The sequence below is a fragment of the Homo sapiens genome, chromosome 1 (genome assembly GCF_000001405.40).
Source record: "Homo sapiens chromosome 1, GRCh38.p14 Primary Assembly".
NCBI lineage: Eukaryota > Metazoa > Chordata > Mammalia > Primates > Hominidae > Homo > Homo sapiens.
The window spans coordinates 158,601,442-158,620,643 of record NC_000001.11 but is presented as its reverse complement, the minus strand read 5'-3'; the positions used below and the strand labels follow the sequence as shown (position 1 = coordinate 158,620,643).

At 37.6% G+C, this 19,202-nt stretch overlaps 2 protein-coding genes across 6 annotated transcripts in view; one reads left to right on the top strand and one right to left on the bottom strand.

Annotated features, from left to right (window-relative positions):
• Positions 1–9,940, top strand: part of SPTA1 (spectrin alpha, erythrocytic 1) — a 76,012-nt gene extending 66,072 nt beyond the window's left edge. For 3 of the 5 annotated variants that reach the window (XM_011509916.3, XM_047428883.1, NM_003126.4), the window contains 9 exons: positions 178–474; positions 1,310–1,422; positions 2,588–2,605; positions 3,056–3,107; positions 5,241–5,428; positions 6,338–6,391; positions 6,777–6,923; positions 7,683–7,827; positions 9,255–9,940. In XM_011509916.3, the coding sequence (XP_011508218.1) occupies positions 178–474; positions 1,310–1,422; positions 2,588–2,605; positions 3,056–3,107; positions 5,241–5,428; positions 6,338–6,391; positions 6,777–6,923; positions 7,683–7,827; positions 9,255–9,380 (1,140 nt within the window). In that variant the 3' untranslated portion in view covers positions 9,381–9,940. Of the gene's footprint in view, positions 1–177; positions 475–1,309; positions 1,423–2,587; positions 2,606–3,055; positions 3,108–5,240; positions 5,429–6,337; positions 6,392–6,776; positions 6,924–7,682; positions 7,828–9,254 lie in introns of those variants that run through there. The other 2 variants (XM_011509917.4, XM_011509918.4) reach the window with 2 other exon arrangements.
• Positions 8,130–15,376, bottom strand: OR10Z1 (olfactory receptor family 10 subfamily Z member 1). Its single transcript, NM_001004478.2, has 2 exons — positions 15,243–15,376; positions 8,130–14,318 (listed from the first exon to the last, which is right to left on the bottom strand). Exon 2 carries the CDS (start codon positions 14,203–14,205, stop codon positions 13,264–13,266), a length of 942 nt encoding a protein of 313 aa, NP_001004478.1. The 5' UTR covers positions 14,206–14,318; positions 15,243–15,376; the 3' UTR covers positions 8,130–13,263.
• Between the last annotated feature and the right edge of the window lie 3,826 nt (positions 15,377–19,202).

Below are 19,202 nucleotides of genomic sequence, written 5' to 3'. Positions count from 1 at the left end.
CGCTAACTCACATGTTCAACCATCAAAGTACACAGTCCCTATTGGTTTTAGTTCTGCCCTTTTAGATTGGTGGCCCTGCAGATATTTAAAGACAGGCATTATTTTTATCCTCAATCTTCTCTTCTGCTGAGAGGCTTTATCAGGAAAGATGGTAGTGTCTTTTTTTTCTCTCTGCAGGCTGAGGACCTGTTCGTGGAATTTGCACATAAGGCTTCAGCTTTGAACAACTGGTGTGAAAAGATGGAAGAAAACTTGTCAGAGCCTGTGCACTGTGTCTCCCTGAATGAAATTCGGCAGCTGCAGAAAGACCATGAGGACTTCTTGGCCTCCCTGGCTAGGGCTCAAGCAGACTTTAAATGTTTGCTGGAGCTAGACCAGCAGATTAAGGCCTTAGGTGTGCCTTCCAGCCCTTATACCTGGTTAACAGTGGAGGTGCTGGAAAGGACCTGGAAGCACCTATCTGACATCATTGAGGTAACCTGGAACACGGCAGAAACTTCCTTTCACTACAGTGAACATAACCACTTTATTATCCAAGTAAATAGACTTTTGACATAGAAGGAACACTATTAATAACTATACTGGGACAGAAGTCATGAAACATGACTGTCTAAGAAAAACTGGAAAATATGTTTATCATAGGTATACCCTATGCCCCATAATTTGGGCAGTTTCCTGTTTTTGAGTATTGAACAATGATTCTGAGAAGCAAACAGAAGCCCCAAGACATGGTTCTAATGATGAGCTATGAAAAGTTCATGAGGCTTTATATGTATTCATTGTCTACATATCCCCCTCATTCAAGACATTTTCGTTTTTATATACACCTCCAAAAGTGCCTTGCTACGTATGTATTTTTAGCTTTTGTCTGTGTTAATAATGTTCATTATTGAAACTATGAAACATAAAAAGTGTAATAGAAAACTAACCACAATATCACCATTTTTAGATAGTAACTATTGTTTCTAAGGGTAGCAGGCCCTTTAAGGCTGCTTTTGTGTTCATTTAAATTAAATTTCCCCAAAAGAAATTATAAACAGGAGAGGTTTGCTTTTATTACTAGCTTACTTGTTACGGGACTTGGTCTTAGAGGACCCTGCAAGTACTCTTGGGAAATACACAGGCTATCTTTACATTTTAGAGGTGAGAGAGGTTGACTGCATGAAATATGAGCACACAGGCACATACCTGTGGAAGATAGGTTAGACTTGAGAGAGGAAAGATATGCAGTTAAGCCTACAAACCAATTCTCTTATGGCAAAGAAAGGCCTTCGATGTCAGTCACGTTGTCTGTGATTTGGGGTTTTAGGAACGGGAGCAGGAGCTGCAAAAGGAAGAGGCAAGACAGGTCAAGAACTTTGAGATGTGTCAGGAGTTTGAACAGAATGCCAGTACCTTCCTTCAATGGATCCTGGAAACCAGGTGTGCTATGCTACATCCCAAACCATGACCCCTGTGCCACCACCATTTGCCATAGGGATGAAATACATGTTTGAAGGGAAGAGGAGAGACTCTGAGAGCATGTATTCTGCCCTAAAATCCCCATATCTTGCCTATGCTTTATATTTGGAGTTGACTGTTTTCTGAATCAATTCTTGGAAAACCAAGAAATGACAATTTCATCCTTCTGCTTATTATGTACACTTCTGTATTCTCTCCTTGATACTCTCACCTTTCTTTCTGTTGCCTGTAATTTCAGTCCAAAATAATAACAATTTCTTATGTTCACATGCCATATTGCACTTTACAGAGTACTTCCATATCCATTACCTCACTTAACTGTCGGAGCAACCTTGAAAAGCATACAGAGCAGCTCTTATTAGCTCTGTTTCCAAGTGTGGAAAGTTCAAGTAGATAAATTTACTTGCTCAAGGTCACATATATATTTACTGGCATAACCAGAAGCAGAATCTTCTATGAATACCTCATATGAAGCTATTCTGTTGTGTACCTACTAAAGTTCTAATGAGAATCAAGTGAGATAATTTATGTTAATTGTGCTTATTAATAGCAAACTGTTCTGTACCTGAAGATAACATATGTCACATCTTCTGGGGTAAATGACCTAGAAAAAGGAGACTTAGAAGATGTAATATATTAGAATACATGGTCAAAGTTGTATCCAGTAGGTGTGTCAAAACTGTGGTGTTTTGAGGGTTAATGTGGTGGTTTAGACAATTCATGATATATACTTTTCTACATACTCACTGACAACGATAAATGAACAAAAAGAAATCCTATACCATGTCTAAACCATCTGACAGAAGGCAGAGAAGACACAGAACACCCTTCTCTTCCTCTTTTCTTGGTGACTTCATCACATCCTGGCAATGTGTGTCCAACACCAAGCATATTCCTTGACATTGGTGCTCCTTGTCCTGAAGCAAGGAGCTTTATGGGAGACTCTGATCTTCTCAGAGTGGGAGAGGCCTTGGGAACCAGTGGGTGGACAGATTCATGTTTTGTGGCAACAAAAGATTTAAAATGTTTCATAAATCTGAGGAAATGAGATCTTTAAAGTAATCCATTTTAACATATCATCTCCCTTTTCTCTCATGTGATTCCTGTTCCGGACCTCCATGTCCAGGGCTTACTTTCTGGATGGGTCAGTATTTTATGTTATCATCATGTTTGCTTTATTATATTATTATGGAAGAATTCGTTAAGAAAGAGTTAGTGCTGAGACATTTTCATTCCATTGTAATCTGGTAGTATGTAAATAAAAATGTGGAGTGAGAAGGAAAAGCTCATTATATTTCATTCTGCCCTTATACTTCACTAGACGGAATCTTGCCTACATTGCTTAAGTGTGTATTTAAGAAGAATAATTAAGAGGGGTATGTGAAAGCCTTCTCCTAGTCAGAGAAGAACTAGGGAAAGTCTTCCCTTCTCATCAGTCTGGCAAGGTTGTGAAAATTTGGCTCTGTGAAATTTTGCTTCATGTAAGCCACATAACCTTGGAGAAGTTGAAACAGAGGAGCTTCGAGTTGGTATGCATGTATGAAATATTGACCTGTGATGTGATGCATAATGATTTCCTTCGGTTCTTAACTAGATCATTGCTCAAAGAAACAGGAACTCTGGAATCTCAGCTGGAAGCAAATAAAGTAAGTATTGTTTTTTCATTAACTGAAGATATTGCCAAAATTATAAGGAGTGTAAAAATAATCACCTAAGGGAAGCCCAGGTGATACTTTTAGGTATGTATCACCTGAAGTCCATTTTAACCATAGGCCATCACATCATGAATATAAACCTCAGTCTACTTAAATCTCTGAATTTCAATTTCTGCATCTACACAATAGAGTTAGTACCCATTGTAGAGTCACTGTTTGCCCTGAAGAAAGAATTTCATGGGAGACTCTGATCTGCCCAGAGTGGGAGAGGCTTTGGGAACAGTGGGTGGGTGGTTTCACGTTTTGTGGCTACAAAGGATTTAGAACATGATGATGAAGTAAAGGAGCAAATGTAAAAGTGCCCAACACTGGCAAATTTCTGTTATTATATGACGTAGTAAGATGATACAATTGAATCTAATCATCTCTTGACAACTGAGCGAAGTAATGGGTTAGAACAGTGTTTCTCAACATTTTTTTTTTACTATTATTCTTGCAGGAGAAAAAAATTAAGTAATGACATTTAATTTTTTTCTAACAAAAAAATGAAATACTAGAGAATACGATGTCAGGTAGTTTTGACTGTCATCTCACTTGAGTTAAAGTGGCTTTTATTAAAAAAACAAGGAATAATGGATGCTGGTGAAGATGTAGAGAAAGTGGAAATAGTACAGCCACTATGGAAACCAGTATGGAAATTCCTCAAAAAATTAAAAAGATAAAGACCATATGATTCAGCAATCCCATTACTGGGTATATATCTAAAAGAAGGGAAATTAATATATCAAAGAAATATCTGCCCTCCCATGTTTATGACAGGAGATAACAGGGAGACTATTCACAATAGCCAAAATATGGAATCAACCTAACTGCTCATCAATGGATTAACTGATAAAGAAATCATGGTATACACAATGGAATATTATTTGTCCATTAAAAAATGAAATTCTGACATTTTCAGTAACATGGATGGAACTGAATGTCATTATATTAAGTGAAATAAGCCAAGCACAGTAAGACAAATATTGCATGTTCTCACTCGTAGGTGGGAGCAAAATAAAATGGATCTCATGAAGACAGAGAGTATATTGGAGATTACTAGAGGATAGGAATGGTAGGGGGAGATAGAGGAATGAAGAGAGGTTGATTATTGGGTATAAATATACAGTTTGATAGAAGAAATAAGACTAGTAATTGATAGACCAGTAGGGTGACCATAGTTTACAATAATACCTTGTATATTTTAAAATAGCTAGAAGAAAATACTTTGAATGTTTCTAGCATAAAGAAAAGACAAATATTTAAGGTAATAGACATCCAACATATACTGATTTGATCTTTACAAATTATATGAATGTATTAAATTGTCTTGTATACCCTGAAGTATGTACATCTATTATATATAAATGAAACTTAAAAAAAAGATGTCAGGCAAATTTGACCTTTGAAAGGCTACAAGCTTTGTCATATCCCACATTTTTTTCACTGCACTCCACAATCATCAGAATAAATTCACACTTACCCTTATGAGCAATATTCCCTCACTGAGAAAGCATGGGCAAGATGCAGAAATTTGGCATAAAACATGTCTGCATGGCAGGAGCAGCCCATGAAAATCATCCCAAGTTGATGAAAGTGGCCCAGGAGTGAACACTGTGGAGCTTAAGTGAGCCTGAGAGCTCAGCCACAATCAGTGTTGCAGATAAGTCCCAGTGCAGATCACTGTGAGCCATTGATGATGCATGGACTCTGGAAATTTTATTTTTCTTTATTGGCTCTCTTGATAGATGACAGATGATAGACAGACAGATAGATAGATGATAGATAGATGATAGATAGAAAGAATATATAGATATAGATGTATGTGTGTGTGTGTATAACTACTAACTCTTAGATTTATATGTTGCAGAATACCAGAATGACAAGTTTTATTCACCTAAACTTCCCATTATTTTATAAATGAGGACTATAGAAGTGAAGTGGTTTTCCCAAGTAGTTCATCTTTTCACAGAGAACAAGAAGATTCCTGAAAATAAAATCAGCCTGTTATCTCCTCTTCCACCTCTAGGTTTTGAGCTGGTAACCTGGGCAACTAATTGTCTCTCTTCTCTGTCGTTTTTCCAGAGAAAACAGAAGGAGATCCAGGCGATGAAGCGTCAACTAACCAAGATTGTGGACCTGGGGGACAACTTGGAAGACGCTCTGATCCTTGATATCAAATACAGCACCATTGGATTGGCTCAGCAGTGGGACCAGCTCTACCAGCTTGGGTTGCGGATGCAACACAACCTGGAGCAACAGATCCAGGCCAAGTATTGAGGGCGTGTGGCCAGAGCAGGGAGGGATGCAGGTGGTGTTAGGTGTTAGGACCTTAACTAAGGGCGAGAGTTTGGTGCACCAGATAAAAGAGTTGCTTCAGAGAACCAATATTCTGGGTCTTTACTGCCCCACGGAATGACTATTTCTCTTTATACTGAAATCCATCATGAAATAAAAGACAGTGCTCTCCATCCACCTGAGCCTACTCATCACCCACTTGGACAACAACTGACTTTTATACCCAATTTCTCAGAGTTCTTTCACCATCTTATGTGATCTCTTAGGAAACCATTCCCTTTCATAGAATTTTATCTAAAATGTAATGTCTAGATTAAAAGAAACATTTAAAGTGTGGCCAAATAGAGCAGAAGGGCAGAAACTCATTTTCTAGATAAATTCACTATATCAAAGCAGCTCTAGGTCTCAATAGCATTTTGGCAACATTTTTATCTAGATTAGGATTGGCAAACTTTTTCTGTAAATGGTCTGATAATAAATAATTTAACTTTGTAAGGCACATATATTTTCTGCTGTAACTCCTTGATTCTGCTGTTGTAGTGAAAAAAGCAGCTATGATAAGTGAATGACCGTGGCCATGTTCCAATAAAGCTTTATATATGGACATTGAAATTTAAATTTTATGTAATTTTCATGTTTCAAAAAATTTTCTTTTGATTGTCTTCAACCATATGAAAATGTAAAATCTACTCTTGGCTCATGGACTGTACAAAAGCAGGTGGCAGCCTAGATTTGGCCCATGGACTATAGTTTGCCAACTCTTGAACTAGATGACTCAAATAGCAAATTGTCCATTAAAATTCCTCTCTCTTCCATGTGGCTTGTGTTCTGCTAACCTGTGTTTCATATACAGGGAAAATTCATGTTTTTTTTTTTTCTTTCAGGGACATCAAAGGTGTGAGTGAAGAGACTCTAAAGGAATTTAGCACAATCTATAAGTGAGTATAATTTCATAGTTAACTGCTTCTTTGTTTTTCAGATTATTCAGAATGAGTCTACAAATAATGTTTCTCTCACTCTGTGAGGCTTGGTGGAATCTTAAATGAAGATCTAGATATGCTCATTAGCTCCAGTCATGGCTTTCTGTGAGATTTTCAGACTTCAAAAAATACATTTCTTCATTCTCAATGTTTTATGCTTTTCTCTCTATCCATTAGGTTAAAAAAATGTACATGACACAGACAGGCTTTGTATTCAGTCCTCTGATAGTTTTGTGACAGGTCAATAAAGCTTCAGCTGACGCAATAAGACATATTCCTTTCTGTTCTCACTTGGTTTTTCTATTGAGCTTGATAAATTTTTTTTTCTTTTTTTATCCTTTAGACACTTTGATGAGAATTTGACAGGGCGCCTGACTCACAAAGAGTTCCGGTCCTGCCTGAGAGGACTCAATTACTACTTGCCCATGGTGGAGGAGGATGAACATGAGCCCAAGTTTGAGAAGTTCCTGGATGCTGTGGATCCAGGGAGGTAGGAACAAGACTAAGGGTCAGACCGCAGCAGGGATGGGGGTTTGGAGGGAGAAGCACAGAGAGTAAAATGATCCATAAAACATGAAATTAACTCATCTGAAAATAGGAAGAAATAGGCAACCATAAATGAATTAGGCAGCTCTTGGTGCCCTTTCAAGATTAGCTCAGCAGTGAATGGTGCTAACTTTAACTCGAGGACTAGCTTTACAATTTCTCCAATTCATGATTTATGTTCAATCTATGAATTTCAGCTACTTTTGAGGATGAGACTAGAGAGAAGAATCCCTTCATGTATGTGAGATTTTAAGGAGACATAGGTGATTCAGAGACCAACACATGGGGTTGGGGTGGTTATGTGCTTATGGGAGTGTGTTAGAATCATCAAGAGATCAAGTAACTGTTAGGGAATAATTCTTGCTAATACTAAAAACCAAAGAAGACCAGAAATTATTTGAGGACTGGTGCTGATGGGAAATTTCAAAATTCACCGAGAATCAGGCTGAATGACCCATGTTGAAACAGAGTCTGGAGCTTAGTAATATTTAGTAATATTTGGCTTAGTAATGTTTGGCTGTAAGAGGGTGATGAAGGGGAGCCAAAATGGAGAGCATAACCCATCTCATCCCAGAAAGCTTAGTTGGAAGAGGCACTTGGAGAATCTGGCTTTCCTCTGTTTCTGAGACACTGAGTAGGATTAAAAAGGGGACTTCCTTCTCTGCCTTGAGAAGGCTCAGCTCCTGATCCATTTCTCCCACAGGAAGGGCTATGTCTCACTGGAGGACTATACTGCTTTCCTGATTGACAAGGAGTCAGAAAACATCAAGTCCAGTGATGAAATAGAGAATGCCTTCCAAGCCCTGGCAGAGGGCAAGTCATATATTACCAAAGAAGACATGAAGCAGGTCCGATTCTGGTTGCTTCCCCTACTACACTGTCATCCTAATTTGAATTCTGGTCATCTCAGGCCCGGTGGCCTACTTTGAAAAAACCCACCCACTTGTTTTTTTTTTTCAGACCTCCCCTTTCACAAGATGTCATTTGCTTTGGTAACCACTTCATTTTGTCTTGACCCAACTCAAAAACGTACTGTGGTACTCTATTGAATGTGAGAGTCAATTCAAAATCTGCAACTCAGTTTTTAAGGCTATTTCTTTTTTTTTTCCTCATTAATTCAAAGAGCATTTATTGAATGCTTACTATGTTCCAGGCATGAGGAGTGCAAACTTTAGTAAGACACAGTCCCTAAATTCAGGTGTAGTGGGGAAGACAGAACTTTACAAGTTAAAAACACTGTAACAGAAGCAAACACATCTGTCATGGGAACAAAGATGTGGGGAATTTTATTACAACCAGAAGTAATCTCTCTTCTCTCTGATTCCAAGAGCTTTCTTCATTCCTCTCCTTAAAATACTTGCATCAGGGAAAGTATCATCTATGATTAACACAGGGTGAGTGTTGAAGGACGTGCAGGAACTCATCAAGTCATCAAAGGAAAGCCTAAGTGTTTCAGGCAAAGGCAAGTGTGTGTGCAAAGGAACTTGAGAAAACAGATTTTCCTAATACCTAAAGCATAAGGTAAGAAGATAGTAACAGAAAGTGAAAGGGAAAACAATTAAGCAGAAACCAGATTACAAAGGGTCACATACATGATGGTATCGTTTTGCACAAACTCATCCAATTGTCTAAACTCATCAAACTGTACACATTAAAGGTGCAATTCTTTATCAATCATACCTCGACAAAGCTGTTACAAAAAGAAAATGATGTGGTCTTCCAGACACTATCTGGAGCCACCCACCCACACGCTAACTTATTGGAGTCTTTAGGGATCCACTTGGTAATCAAACAGCACAGTGAATAGAGGAACTCTTTGGCATAAGAGGATCATAGGTTCAAGTCCCAGCTCTACCACTTTCTGGCAGTGTAACCACTGGTGAGTTATTCTACCTTCTTGAGTATTTTACCTTACTCATAAAACATGCTAGTCCCCACATCTCAAAGCAGCCAGGAAGATGAAATAGATCAAGTGGTCAACAAATGTTGTTAGGCATATAATTCCTTCTATTTAATAAAACAACTTTAGGGAATGAGATTTACAGAATAATCAAAGTGAGTAAGCTCTCTTTTTCAAGAAAGGGCTGAGATTAAAAGTTAAGTTACTCATTAGAAATTATAAATTTATGAGATAAAAATTGTGTGTAATAGAAATAGGGCTTGCGTCTTCCAGAGACTCTCCATCTCCTGCATTTATGGCGTAATATGGGAAGCCCCAAGGAACCAGCTATTTTGAATCCCTATAACTGTATTTTTCTCTTTTTATACTTTTCAGGCCCTTACCCCAGAGCAAGTGTCATTCTGTGCCACACATATGCAGCAATATATGGACCCACGGGGTCGAAGCCATCTCTCTGGCTATGACTACGTTGGCTTCACCAATTCCTACTTTGGCAACTAATAAGCAGCTCCTCGTGGATCGTAGAAAATCTTAGTGTCGTGGGAAATTTACTGGGGGGCAAAGAGTACAGGCAAATGTGGAAGATAAAGATGGCCTCGTGTGTGTGTGTGTGTGTGTGTGTGTGTGTGTGTGCTTGTGTTTGTGTGCATATTACATTTATTGTAGGATCTTAAAAAATCTCAAGGGTGGGAGATAGAAAGGTTAATAGAGTTGGAGGAGTGGAAGCTATTTTGTATGCAACTAGTCACTGCTGAGGGGTGTCAAAGTTTCTATTTTTATTTGTTCTGTTTTGCACGTCTTTATCATTTTGCTTTATTCCGATTATAGAATAAAGTAATTCTTTTTAAAAATATTTTTTGGGGCAAAGTTAAGTAAAATGTTGAGCTTCTATATTTCTGGGAACTGTACTCATATAAGAGTGGGCAGCTAATTTTACTGTAAAGAAGGGCCATGGTATAGTAGATAAATAAAATCCAAGGCAATTTTCAAACAATTTTTTTAAACTTTGGAATGTGTTTAAATTTAAATTTGAAAATAAAGATATTTGATTTTCTGGGGAACATGAATATTTTAGTTTGTACAATGAAACAACACACAGATCAGCATAACACCTGTTTTCTTCTTGTTTTTTTTCCATACTTCAAAATTATTGTAGATGTTATTACTCTCAGAAAGACAAAATTCCAGCATAGCAGGGCTTTCTCTTGTCCTCCAAGCTCCCGTATTTTCTCTTAAGTTTTAATGTAATAAAAATAATACTTCAATATCCTGTTAAAGTAACAGTTAATAGAATTATTTATAAAATTAAGAATTAATTTTAAAAAAAGAAGAGGTGATGCTATCTTCAAAAATTTTCAGGCCAGGTTTATTCTGAACAGGTTTATATGCCGACATTCTGATTTGATCTATAAAAGGTAATGGTGTCATTTGCTGGTGAGAATTCTTAGATATCTTAATTGCTGTGTATAAAACTGCTAGCGTTCTGCACAAATAGTCCCCACTTACCAATCCATTCATGTTGCCACTTGATTACCATCTTAAGTCTCAGTCCCTTCCTCTGCATAGAAATGAATCTGTGCAGGACAAATCCTGTCATAGGAGCCTTTTTTAAACAAAAAGTTGGTTAAAGCTAAAAAGTTATCATTGATACTAACAACATACAGGTATTTTAGTGATTCTTTTCTTAAATAGTCAAATACTATGGAATATAACAAGCAGAAAGTATTTTCAAAATTAATGTTCACAAATGTCTAAATTGCCTGATTATAAGTTACCAAAAATAGTACAGTTAGAAAAGATATAGGCCATCGAAAATTAGCATTGTTTAATATCACACTTACCACATATGGATAGTCTAAAACTATTTGTGCTGAAAATAATCACAAGCAAAGGTGGATGTGATTCCATTCCCCCAATGCTAACCCTGCCAAAAATTTTCAAGGCCTAAATCAAATTATTAGTCATTTAGTGGGTCAAATGTGTGTACCTGGAAGAAGAGTTTGCCCTTTCTAAGCGCGTAGTCACATACTTAATCAAGAGAGGAAATTTGAATCACCAAACGAGATTTTGAAGACTATTATGTTGTCCCTATCCCAAATCAATTGTTTCAAGGTAGAAACAAATTAGATAGATTCCAAAAACACCTATTTGGAAAAATCCCTCCAAGTGATTTTATACCCTTCCATACTTAAGACTACTACATGTGGAAGTTAGACCTCTAAGTATTACTTAGCAATACTTGAAACATCCTTACTAACCATTCGTCACTGTGCATTTAGTCAATGTTATGCTGGGCAGACTGAATGAACTGGTGAAATGAATTTGCTCACATGGCCTCAGTGCAATGAGGCATTACTTCTTCCAATATTGAGAACTTCAGAGTAGATGGCCTTTCTCCCCTGATGAGGCCCTTTTGGCTATCTGACTAACTCATCTACTTGTCTTCATCCTGTTCTCTTCTCTGAGCTCTAGCTTCCTTCCTCTCAAATTGTTTTCATCAAATTCCAATTAGAGGATGTATTTCTTTCCTGAAAGCATGAAAAAATATGGATTTCTGTCTGAAAAATATCTTCTCGGCCTAAGGTCTTTCCTTGTCTCTCAAGCCATGCCCCACTTCTATCTCACTGCCAAATCCTGTGAATTCTACCTTCTCAAAATCTCATGTTTGTGATTTCCTTCAGTCTCTGAATGTCACTATCCATATTCAAGCCTCTTTGCCTTTTTTTAAGCTGATATCCATGGGTTTCTTGCTGATCTCCTTGCCTCTGGTTTCTCTCTACTGAAATCTATCATCCCCTTTGCTGCTGGATTAATCTTCCTGAATCCCTTCCCAGATGCCTCTCTCTGTTCAACGTTTTACTGTGCCTTATCTCCTATAGACAAAAGGACCATGTCTGAAGCAAGGTATTCAAATTATTTCAACAAGTAAGTCATGACTCAAACTAACTTCTCAGCATCATTTGTGAGTTGTTTCCAGCCCCTCTGAATAACTCACACACATTAAACTAGGCTTATATTGTCTTACCATCAAGCCTTTGGCTATTACATTCTCTCTTCTGAGAATGTACTTTCTCCCCAGTCAGTGCATTCAAAGCTCACCCATCCTTTAGGAACAAGTTCAGATACTATTTAAGACATGAAGTCTTCTCTGATCCTCCACCTAGAGTAAACTCTACCTAAACTAAAAGCCAATATCTTTTTCCTTCACACATTTTAATAGTAGCAACTGGAATTTATTGGACGATCGCTATGATCCAAGGGTTGTGCTAAATTCTTTGTATGCATGATCCTGTTTAGTCACCAACCATTGTAAAGATAAGACTCGGAAGCTGAAAAAAATGTTAAATAACTTACCTAGAGTCACACAGCTAGTAAGTTGAAGAGTTTGGATTCAAACTCCTGCCTGACGGTCTTGTGAGTTCATTACACTTTCTCTAATAATGTCCGCCGCTATATATAACCACATTATATGTGGAAAGTGGAATAGGCAGAATAGATAGTTCTGCAATAGATTCAAAAGAACAGTATCCAATTTGATAAGCGACCCAAATGAGAAAGGTCTTTGACACTCAAGATTCTGAAGCTACCAGGGAACATTAACAGTTATAAAAAAAAATAGGAAGTAAATATATTTTCTGAAATAGAGTGCACCCAGCTTGGAAAATCAATCAAAACAAAAAGGGCAAAGTAACAGAGTCAGAGATAGTGAGGACAACTATATAAAAAGATGATTCCATGTTTTTGCTACTGTCAATAGCACAATGAGGAATGTATAAGCACATGTGCCCCACTGTATATGAAATAATAGTTGAAATTAAAAAAAATAAAAACATAAAAAGATGAAAGACACCCAGTGGGAGTAAAAATGACCCACCTGTTCATTTAACAAAGCTTTAAACTAACCTGTCAAGCTGATATTCCCCAGGTTTCAAATCTTGGAAGAACATTACAGGTCAAATAGTCTAATTATGTAATGATTTTAGAAATCTCTACAGTATCCCTGATGGGCTCCAGCCAGCCCTGCCTTGAACTTGAACACTCCAAACTTCCCTCATTTTGTTCAGCTCAATTAAAAAATTCTTGATTATCTTAATTAAATTTTTAATTCTCAATGGGTTTCAGTAACTAGGGGTGGCATCTAGGAGGCTGAAAGTTAAAATTCAGATTTTGGGCTCATTTTGAGTTGTGCACAGTGAGCAGAGCAGGAAGCCCCGCCTCTGCATTCCAAGCAGTCAGGGGGAAGGGCAAGAGGCAGGATAAGGCTTTCCCAGAAGATTGGGGGTAGGACAGCTTTGGCCTGAGGCCTTGAATACCTGGCCCTTTGGCTTGGGTTCTTGGTCTATGCCCAGCCTACACAGAAGAAAGTGTCCTATTGGGGTAACCTTCATCCTTTACCCAGCAATCTCCCTCTGAAAGCATTCCTCAGAGCTGTCTGTATAGCCCTATTCCTTAGACTATAAACAATGGGATTAAGGAGGGGGGTCACTACAGTATAGGTCATGGCAATAAGCTGATCTCTCTCAAGAGAGTAGCTGGCTTTGGGCCTCAGGTACACGAAGGAAGCACAGCCATAATGAATAATGACCACTGTAAGGTGCGAGGCACAAGTGGAGAAGGCCTTCTTCTGCCCCTCAGCAGAGGGGATCCTCAGTATTGCTGCCAAGATGTAGGCGTAGGAGATGGTGATGAAGAAGAAGGAGACCAAGAGGACCAAAAGACTGAGGATAAAGATCCTCAGCTCACTCGGGCCTGTATCTCCACAGGCTAGGCTCAGCACAGGTGGCGTGTCACAAAAAAAGTGCTGGATTTCATGGGAGCTGCAGAATGAGAGGTGGAAAATAACTAGTGTCATTCCCAGTCCAAAGAGGTATCCAGTCAGGAAGGAAGTAATGACCAGCTGGGCACAGAGGGTAGGATTCATGTGGCTGGCATAGTGGAGTGGAGCACAGATGGCCACATATCTGTCAAAGCCCATGGCAGCCAGAAGGAAGCAGTTAGTACAGGCCCATGAGGCAGAAAAGAACATCTGGGCAGCACAGCCCACATAGGAGATAGCCTGGTCCCCCCCAGCCAGGCCAGAGAGCATTCTAGGGATGATGCCCAAAGTGTAGCAGGTCTCAGAGAAGGATAGGAAGGAAAGGAAGAGGTACATGGGGGTGTGCAGATGGCTATCCAGCCTGATGGCTATGATAATGAAGACATTGCTGGTCAGAGTGACTAGATACAGAGAGAGGAACAAGGCAAAGAGAAGGAGCTGCAACTCCCCAGAACTGGAGAAGCCCAGGAAGACAAAATCCCTCCAGGAGGTTACGTTGGTCTGCCCCATTCTGAGAGGTATATCCCTGATAGATTTGTTGATTTCTTCCACCTTGCCAGTAGATGCCTAACTTCTTTAAAAGGTGGATGATATGGATTCTTTTTCTCTTGTTCCTGTTGCAACTTAAAAAGGCAGCTCTGATTTAGACTCTACTCAAACTTCAAAAAAGTATTTGTTAAATTAGACACAAATGTATGGGTCCATTCCCATATGACTGTATGTACATATACACATACACAGATGCACAATCACAGACATTCATATGCACATACTTGCACACAAACATATGTATGACTACATACATGCAGGTGTATATATGCTTTATAGCATTCACACATAATTATGCATATCTTACACATTCAAAACTATAAATTATACATTTGCTATTAATGGCCATATCCACAAATATATCAGGCAGGCACATACATTACAAACACATATGTATATAGATAGCATGCAAATTCGTAGATACACACATCACATATAAAGATACACACACCACATATACGTTTATATTGTCTTTATACATACACTATCACATAAGAATACACATATGGACACACCCATATTGCTTGTTAGAACTTTGTGGGGAGGTGGGGAAACTTGATCTTGATGGATTTTGTTTTATAGATCAGGTAACAAAGATCAAGAGAGGTGAAGTGACTTTCTTGAAGTCACACAGAACCAGTATTAGAAAACAAGTATGGTGACTCTTAATCTATCCTTATTTTCCCCATACAATGATGACTCTCTTTAGAGACTATGGAACACACACTAATATGAATATGGAGTAAGAAATAGTTAGTTCAACGATAATCACTTTATCTATACAACCCCTCTTCCAAGCCATTTTACCCTTTCCAAATTCCTTGGGCAGAGTAGGGCAGGCTTCTTTTACCTGTGAATCTATGTTAAGCACGGAAGAAAATGTCAGGGCTCAAGGCAGGTTGTGCAGCATGCATCTCTCAGCCCAAAATCAGGTACTGCTGCCTCCAAAAACTCTACTCTAAACCAAAGCATAAGTCAAGGGAGGATTCTCCACTCACCTGAACAGACTCACGCTGACCTGAAGAGGCTCACAAAGCAAGTCCTGCCTTTTAGCTCCCATGCACTAGACTGCCTCCCAGCAGGATAGACCACAGGAGAAAGACTTGAGATGCATCTTGAAATCTCCTACTCTGAGCAGTGTGATGTCTCCAAATGATACAAAGAAATCTTCTTCCACACCCCTAGTTCCAGGTGGTAAATAATACCTTCTTCCATCCAAACAGCTTCTTTCTCAGAGGATTCTCTAGTCCCAATGGGTGCTGTCTCAGGAAGCACGTCTAATTGTGTTTTTTTGTCATTAGTTGGGAATATCCTTTTGGGGAAAGCAGAAAGGGGAATGTGAACAAGAGATACTAGGATCATGATTTAAATAATAAGTATTGTATCATGTGCTAAGTATTAAACACTAATTTTTTTCACAACATAAATCTCTTTTAAAATTTACAGCAGCCTAGTGAGATAGTGTTAATAGTTACACTTTATAGAAGTGTAACTGAGCCTAATAGACTTTAAATAACTGGTCCAAAATTACAGAACTAAGGACTTATGCTTATAAATTTATACCATAAGATGTATAATTTAAAAATGAAACAAGAATTCAGCTGCTCCCCACTGCTGTCTCAAGAGCTTGATATAACTACTTTGGATATGTGCCTGGTTTCAAAGTCATTCTGAAGAAAATTCTGATCTCTTTCAGGGTCAATTTATTCCTGCATCCTCATTTGTCTATTCCATTTTTTTCTCAGATGCATCATTTTAAAAGCAACTTTACCTTATTTTCATCCTCTTCCTTTGTTTCAACAATGCTGCAATATCTGCATCCAGACAAGTGATATACTTTCCACCTTCAGATTGTTCTGAAACCTTAAAATGTCCCAAAAGTCTACCTACAACTAGGTTAATCTGACTTGTCACTCTTAAAATGCATGTCTCTCTGATATACTTAATGGTGTAAATAGTTGCACCTTCTACATACATCTTCACTCATTGACTGATTTAATAGAAACAACAATGATAATTGGCAACATGTATTCATCAACAGATATTGACTAATTTCATTATATAAATTTAATAAAATATGTGAGTATTATTATTATTCCTATTTTTCCAATAAGAACACTGAGGCATGAAAAATATTAAATAACTTACCCAAGATAACACAGTCAATTGGTGAGGCAGTAGTAAGTAGACTTAAGAAGCCTTTCTTTTGTTTACCATACTATTCCCAGGACCCTGCTTTGGGGTTAGGAAGATGAGTTAGATGTTGGAACAAAATAACAATTGATTTTATAACTATTTTTCTTGCAATGTTGTTTTAGTTGTTGATCTAGCAATTACAGCATGTATTTTTAACATAATCTACTTAAACTTAACATTGAATTATTTCCAGTTAAATGTAGAAAATTTGCAATGTCTTAGTCCCAATTATGTAAATCTACTAACACGTTGTCATAATTTTTGAACAGGCATATGCTATTATAAAGAAATTAAGAGAAAATTATGTTTGTGCAAATCTTTTATATTTAACCAATATTTATCATTTTCAGTGCTCTTCAATCTTTCTTGTATAATCAGATTTTATGTTCCTTCATCCTTAAGGATTTCTCTTAGTATTTCTTATGGTGTAGTTTTGCTAGCAATACATTATCTCCATTTTTATTTATTTGAAAATATCTTCACTTTTTCTTTCTTTGTGAAATGTATTTTTACTGGATATAAAATTACTAGTCATCAGGGTTTTTTTCTTTCATCTTTCTATGCCATTTTCAATGTCTCTGTCTTCAAAAGTTTCTGTTGAGAATGCTACCATTAATTGTATCATTTTTCCACTCATATAATGTGTCATTTTTCTCTAGTTGCTTTAATATTTTCTCTTTACTATAAGAAATTTAACTAAAATGTACTTGAATGTACCTTATGTGTTTCTCTTACTTGTGGCTTCTTGAATATCTTGAACTAGTGAATTAATATTTTCCACCAAATTTGGGAAGTTTTCAGCTGTTATTTCTTCAATATTTTTCTTTATCTTTTTCTTTTTTGTTTGTACAAATGTATAGGGTACATGAGATATTTTGTTATACGTACATAATGCATAGTAATCAAGTCAGGGTATTCAGGGCTTCTGTCACCCTAGTACATACATTTTTGTTAAGTATAGTCACCCTATTCTGATATCAAACATTACTCCATCTCATTGTATATTGGCACTGGGTGATGGTTATTATTGTGTCAGCTTGATTGGATTGAAGGATGCAAAGTATTGTTCCTGGGTGTCTCTGTGAGGGAGTTGCCAAAGGAGATTAACATTTGAGTCAGTAGACTAGAAGAGGCAGACCCAGCCTCAATGTGGGTGGGCACAATCTAACCAGATGCCAGCATAGCTAGGATAAAGGCAGAGGGGTGTGGAATGACTAGACTGACTGTCTTCTGGCCTCCATCTTTCTCCCATGCTGGATGCTTTCTGACCTCAAACATCGGACTCCAAGTTCTCCAGCTTTTGGACTCTTGGGCCTGCACCATTAGTTTGCCAGGGGCTCTCAGGCCTTCAGCCACAGACTGAAAGCTGCACTGTCGGCTTCCCTACTTTTGAGGTTTTGGGACTCGAACTGGCTTCCTTGCTCCTCAGCTTGCAGATGACCTACTGTGGGTCTTCACCTTGTGATTGTGTGAGTCAATACTTCTTAATAAACTCCCTTTCATATATGCATCTATCCTATTAGTGCTGTCCCCCTAGAGAACCCTAACACTATTTAACAGAATTATCTTCATGCAACCGTTCATCCTGACCCTTCCCAGTATTTTTAATTTATCTTTCCACTACCTACTTCCATGGAATCAAATTTTTTAGCTCCCACATGAAAGTGAGAACATGCAATATTTACTTTTTGTGTGTCTGGTTTATTTTACTTAAGATAATCACCTCCAGTTCCATCCATGTTGCTGCACATGGCATGATTTCATCCATTTATGCCTGAATATTATTTCAATGTGTATATCTACCACATTTTTGTTTTTTATGCATTCATCCATCTATGCACACTTAGACTGATTGCATATCTTTGCTGTTGTAAATAGTGCTACAATAAGCATGTGAGTGTAGTAGTTATCCCTTTGATATAGCCATTTCTTTTCCTTTATGTAGATATCTAGTAGTGAGATAGCTGGATAAAATAGCTGAGAACTCTCCATACTGTTTTCATAGTGACTGTACTTGTTTACATTCCTACTAGCAAATGTGTGAAAATTTCTCCACATCCTCACCAACATGTTATTTTTAATGATAGCCATTCTGACTGAAGTAAGATGATATCTCACTGTGGTTTTGATTTGCATTTATCTGATGATTTTTGATGTTGACCATTTTTTCATATACTTGTTAGCCATTTGTATGTCTTCTTTTGAAAAATGTTTATTCATATTCTTTGCCCACTTTTTAATGGGTTTATTTGGGTTTTTTTTCCTGCTGAGTTGTTTGAGTTTCTTGTATATTCTGGATATAATTTCCCTGCAAGACAAATATTTTGCAAATATTTTCTCCCATTCAAAAGATTGCTCTCTGCTTTGTTGATTGTTTCCTTTACTGTGCAGAAGCTTTTTAGTTTAATGTGGTCCCACTTTTTTGTTGTTGTTGTCACCTGTTCTTTTGATGTCCTAGTCATAAATTATTTGCCTAAACCAATGTCCAGGAAATATTTCTCTAGGTTTTGTTCTAATGTTTTATTATTTAAGGTCTTATGTTTAAGTCCTTAATCAATTTTGAGTTTATGGTGAGAAATAGGGGTCTAATTTCATTCTTCTGCATGTGGCTATCCAATTTTTCCAGCACCATAAATTGAAGAACATGTCCTGTCTTCAATGTAAGTTCTCATTGGCTTTGTTGAAGATCAGTTGGCTCTAAGTATGTGACTTTCTTTCTGGAATTTCTATTCTATTCCATGGGATTTTGTGTCTATTTTTCT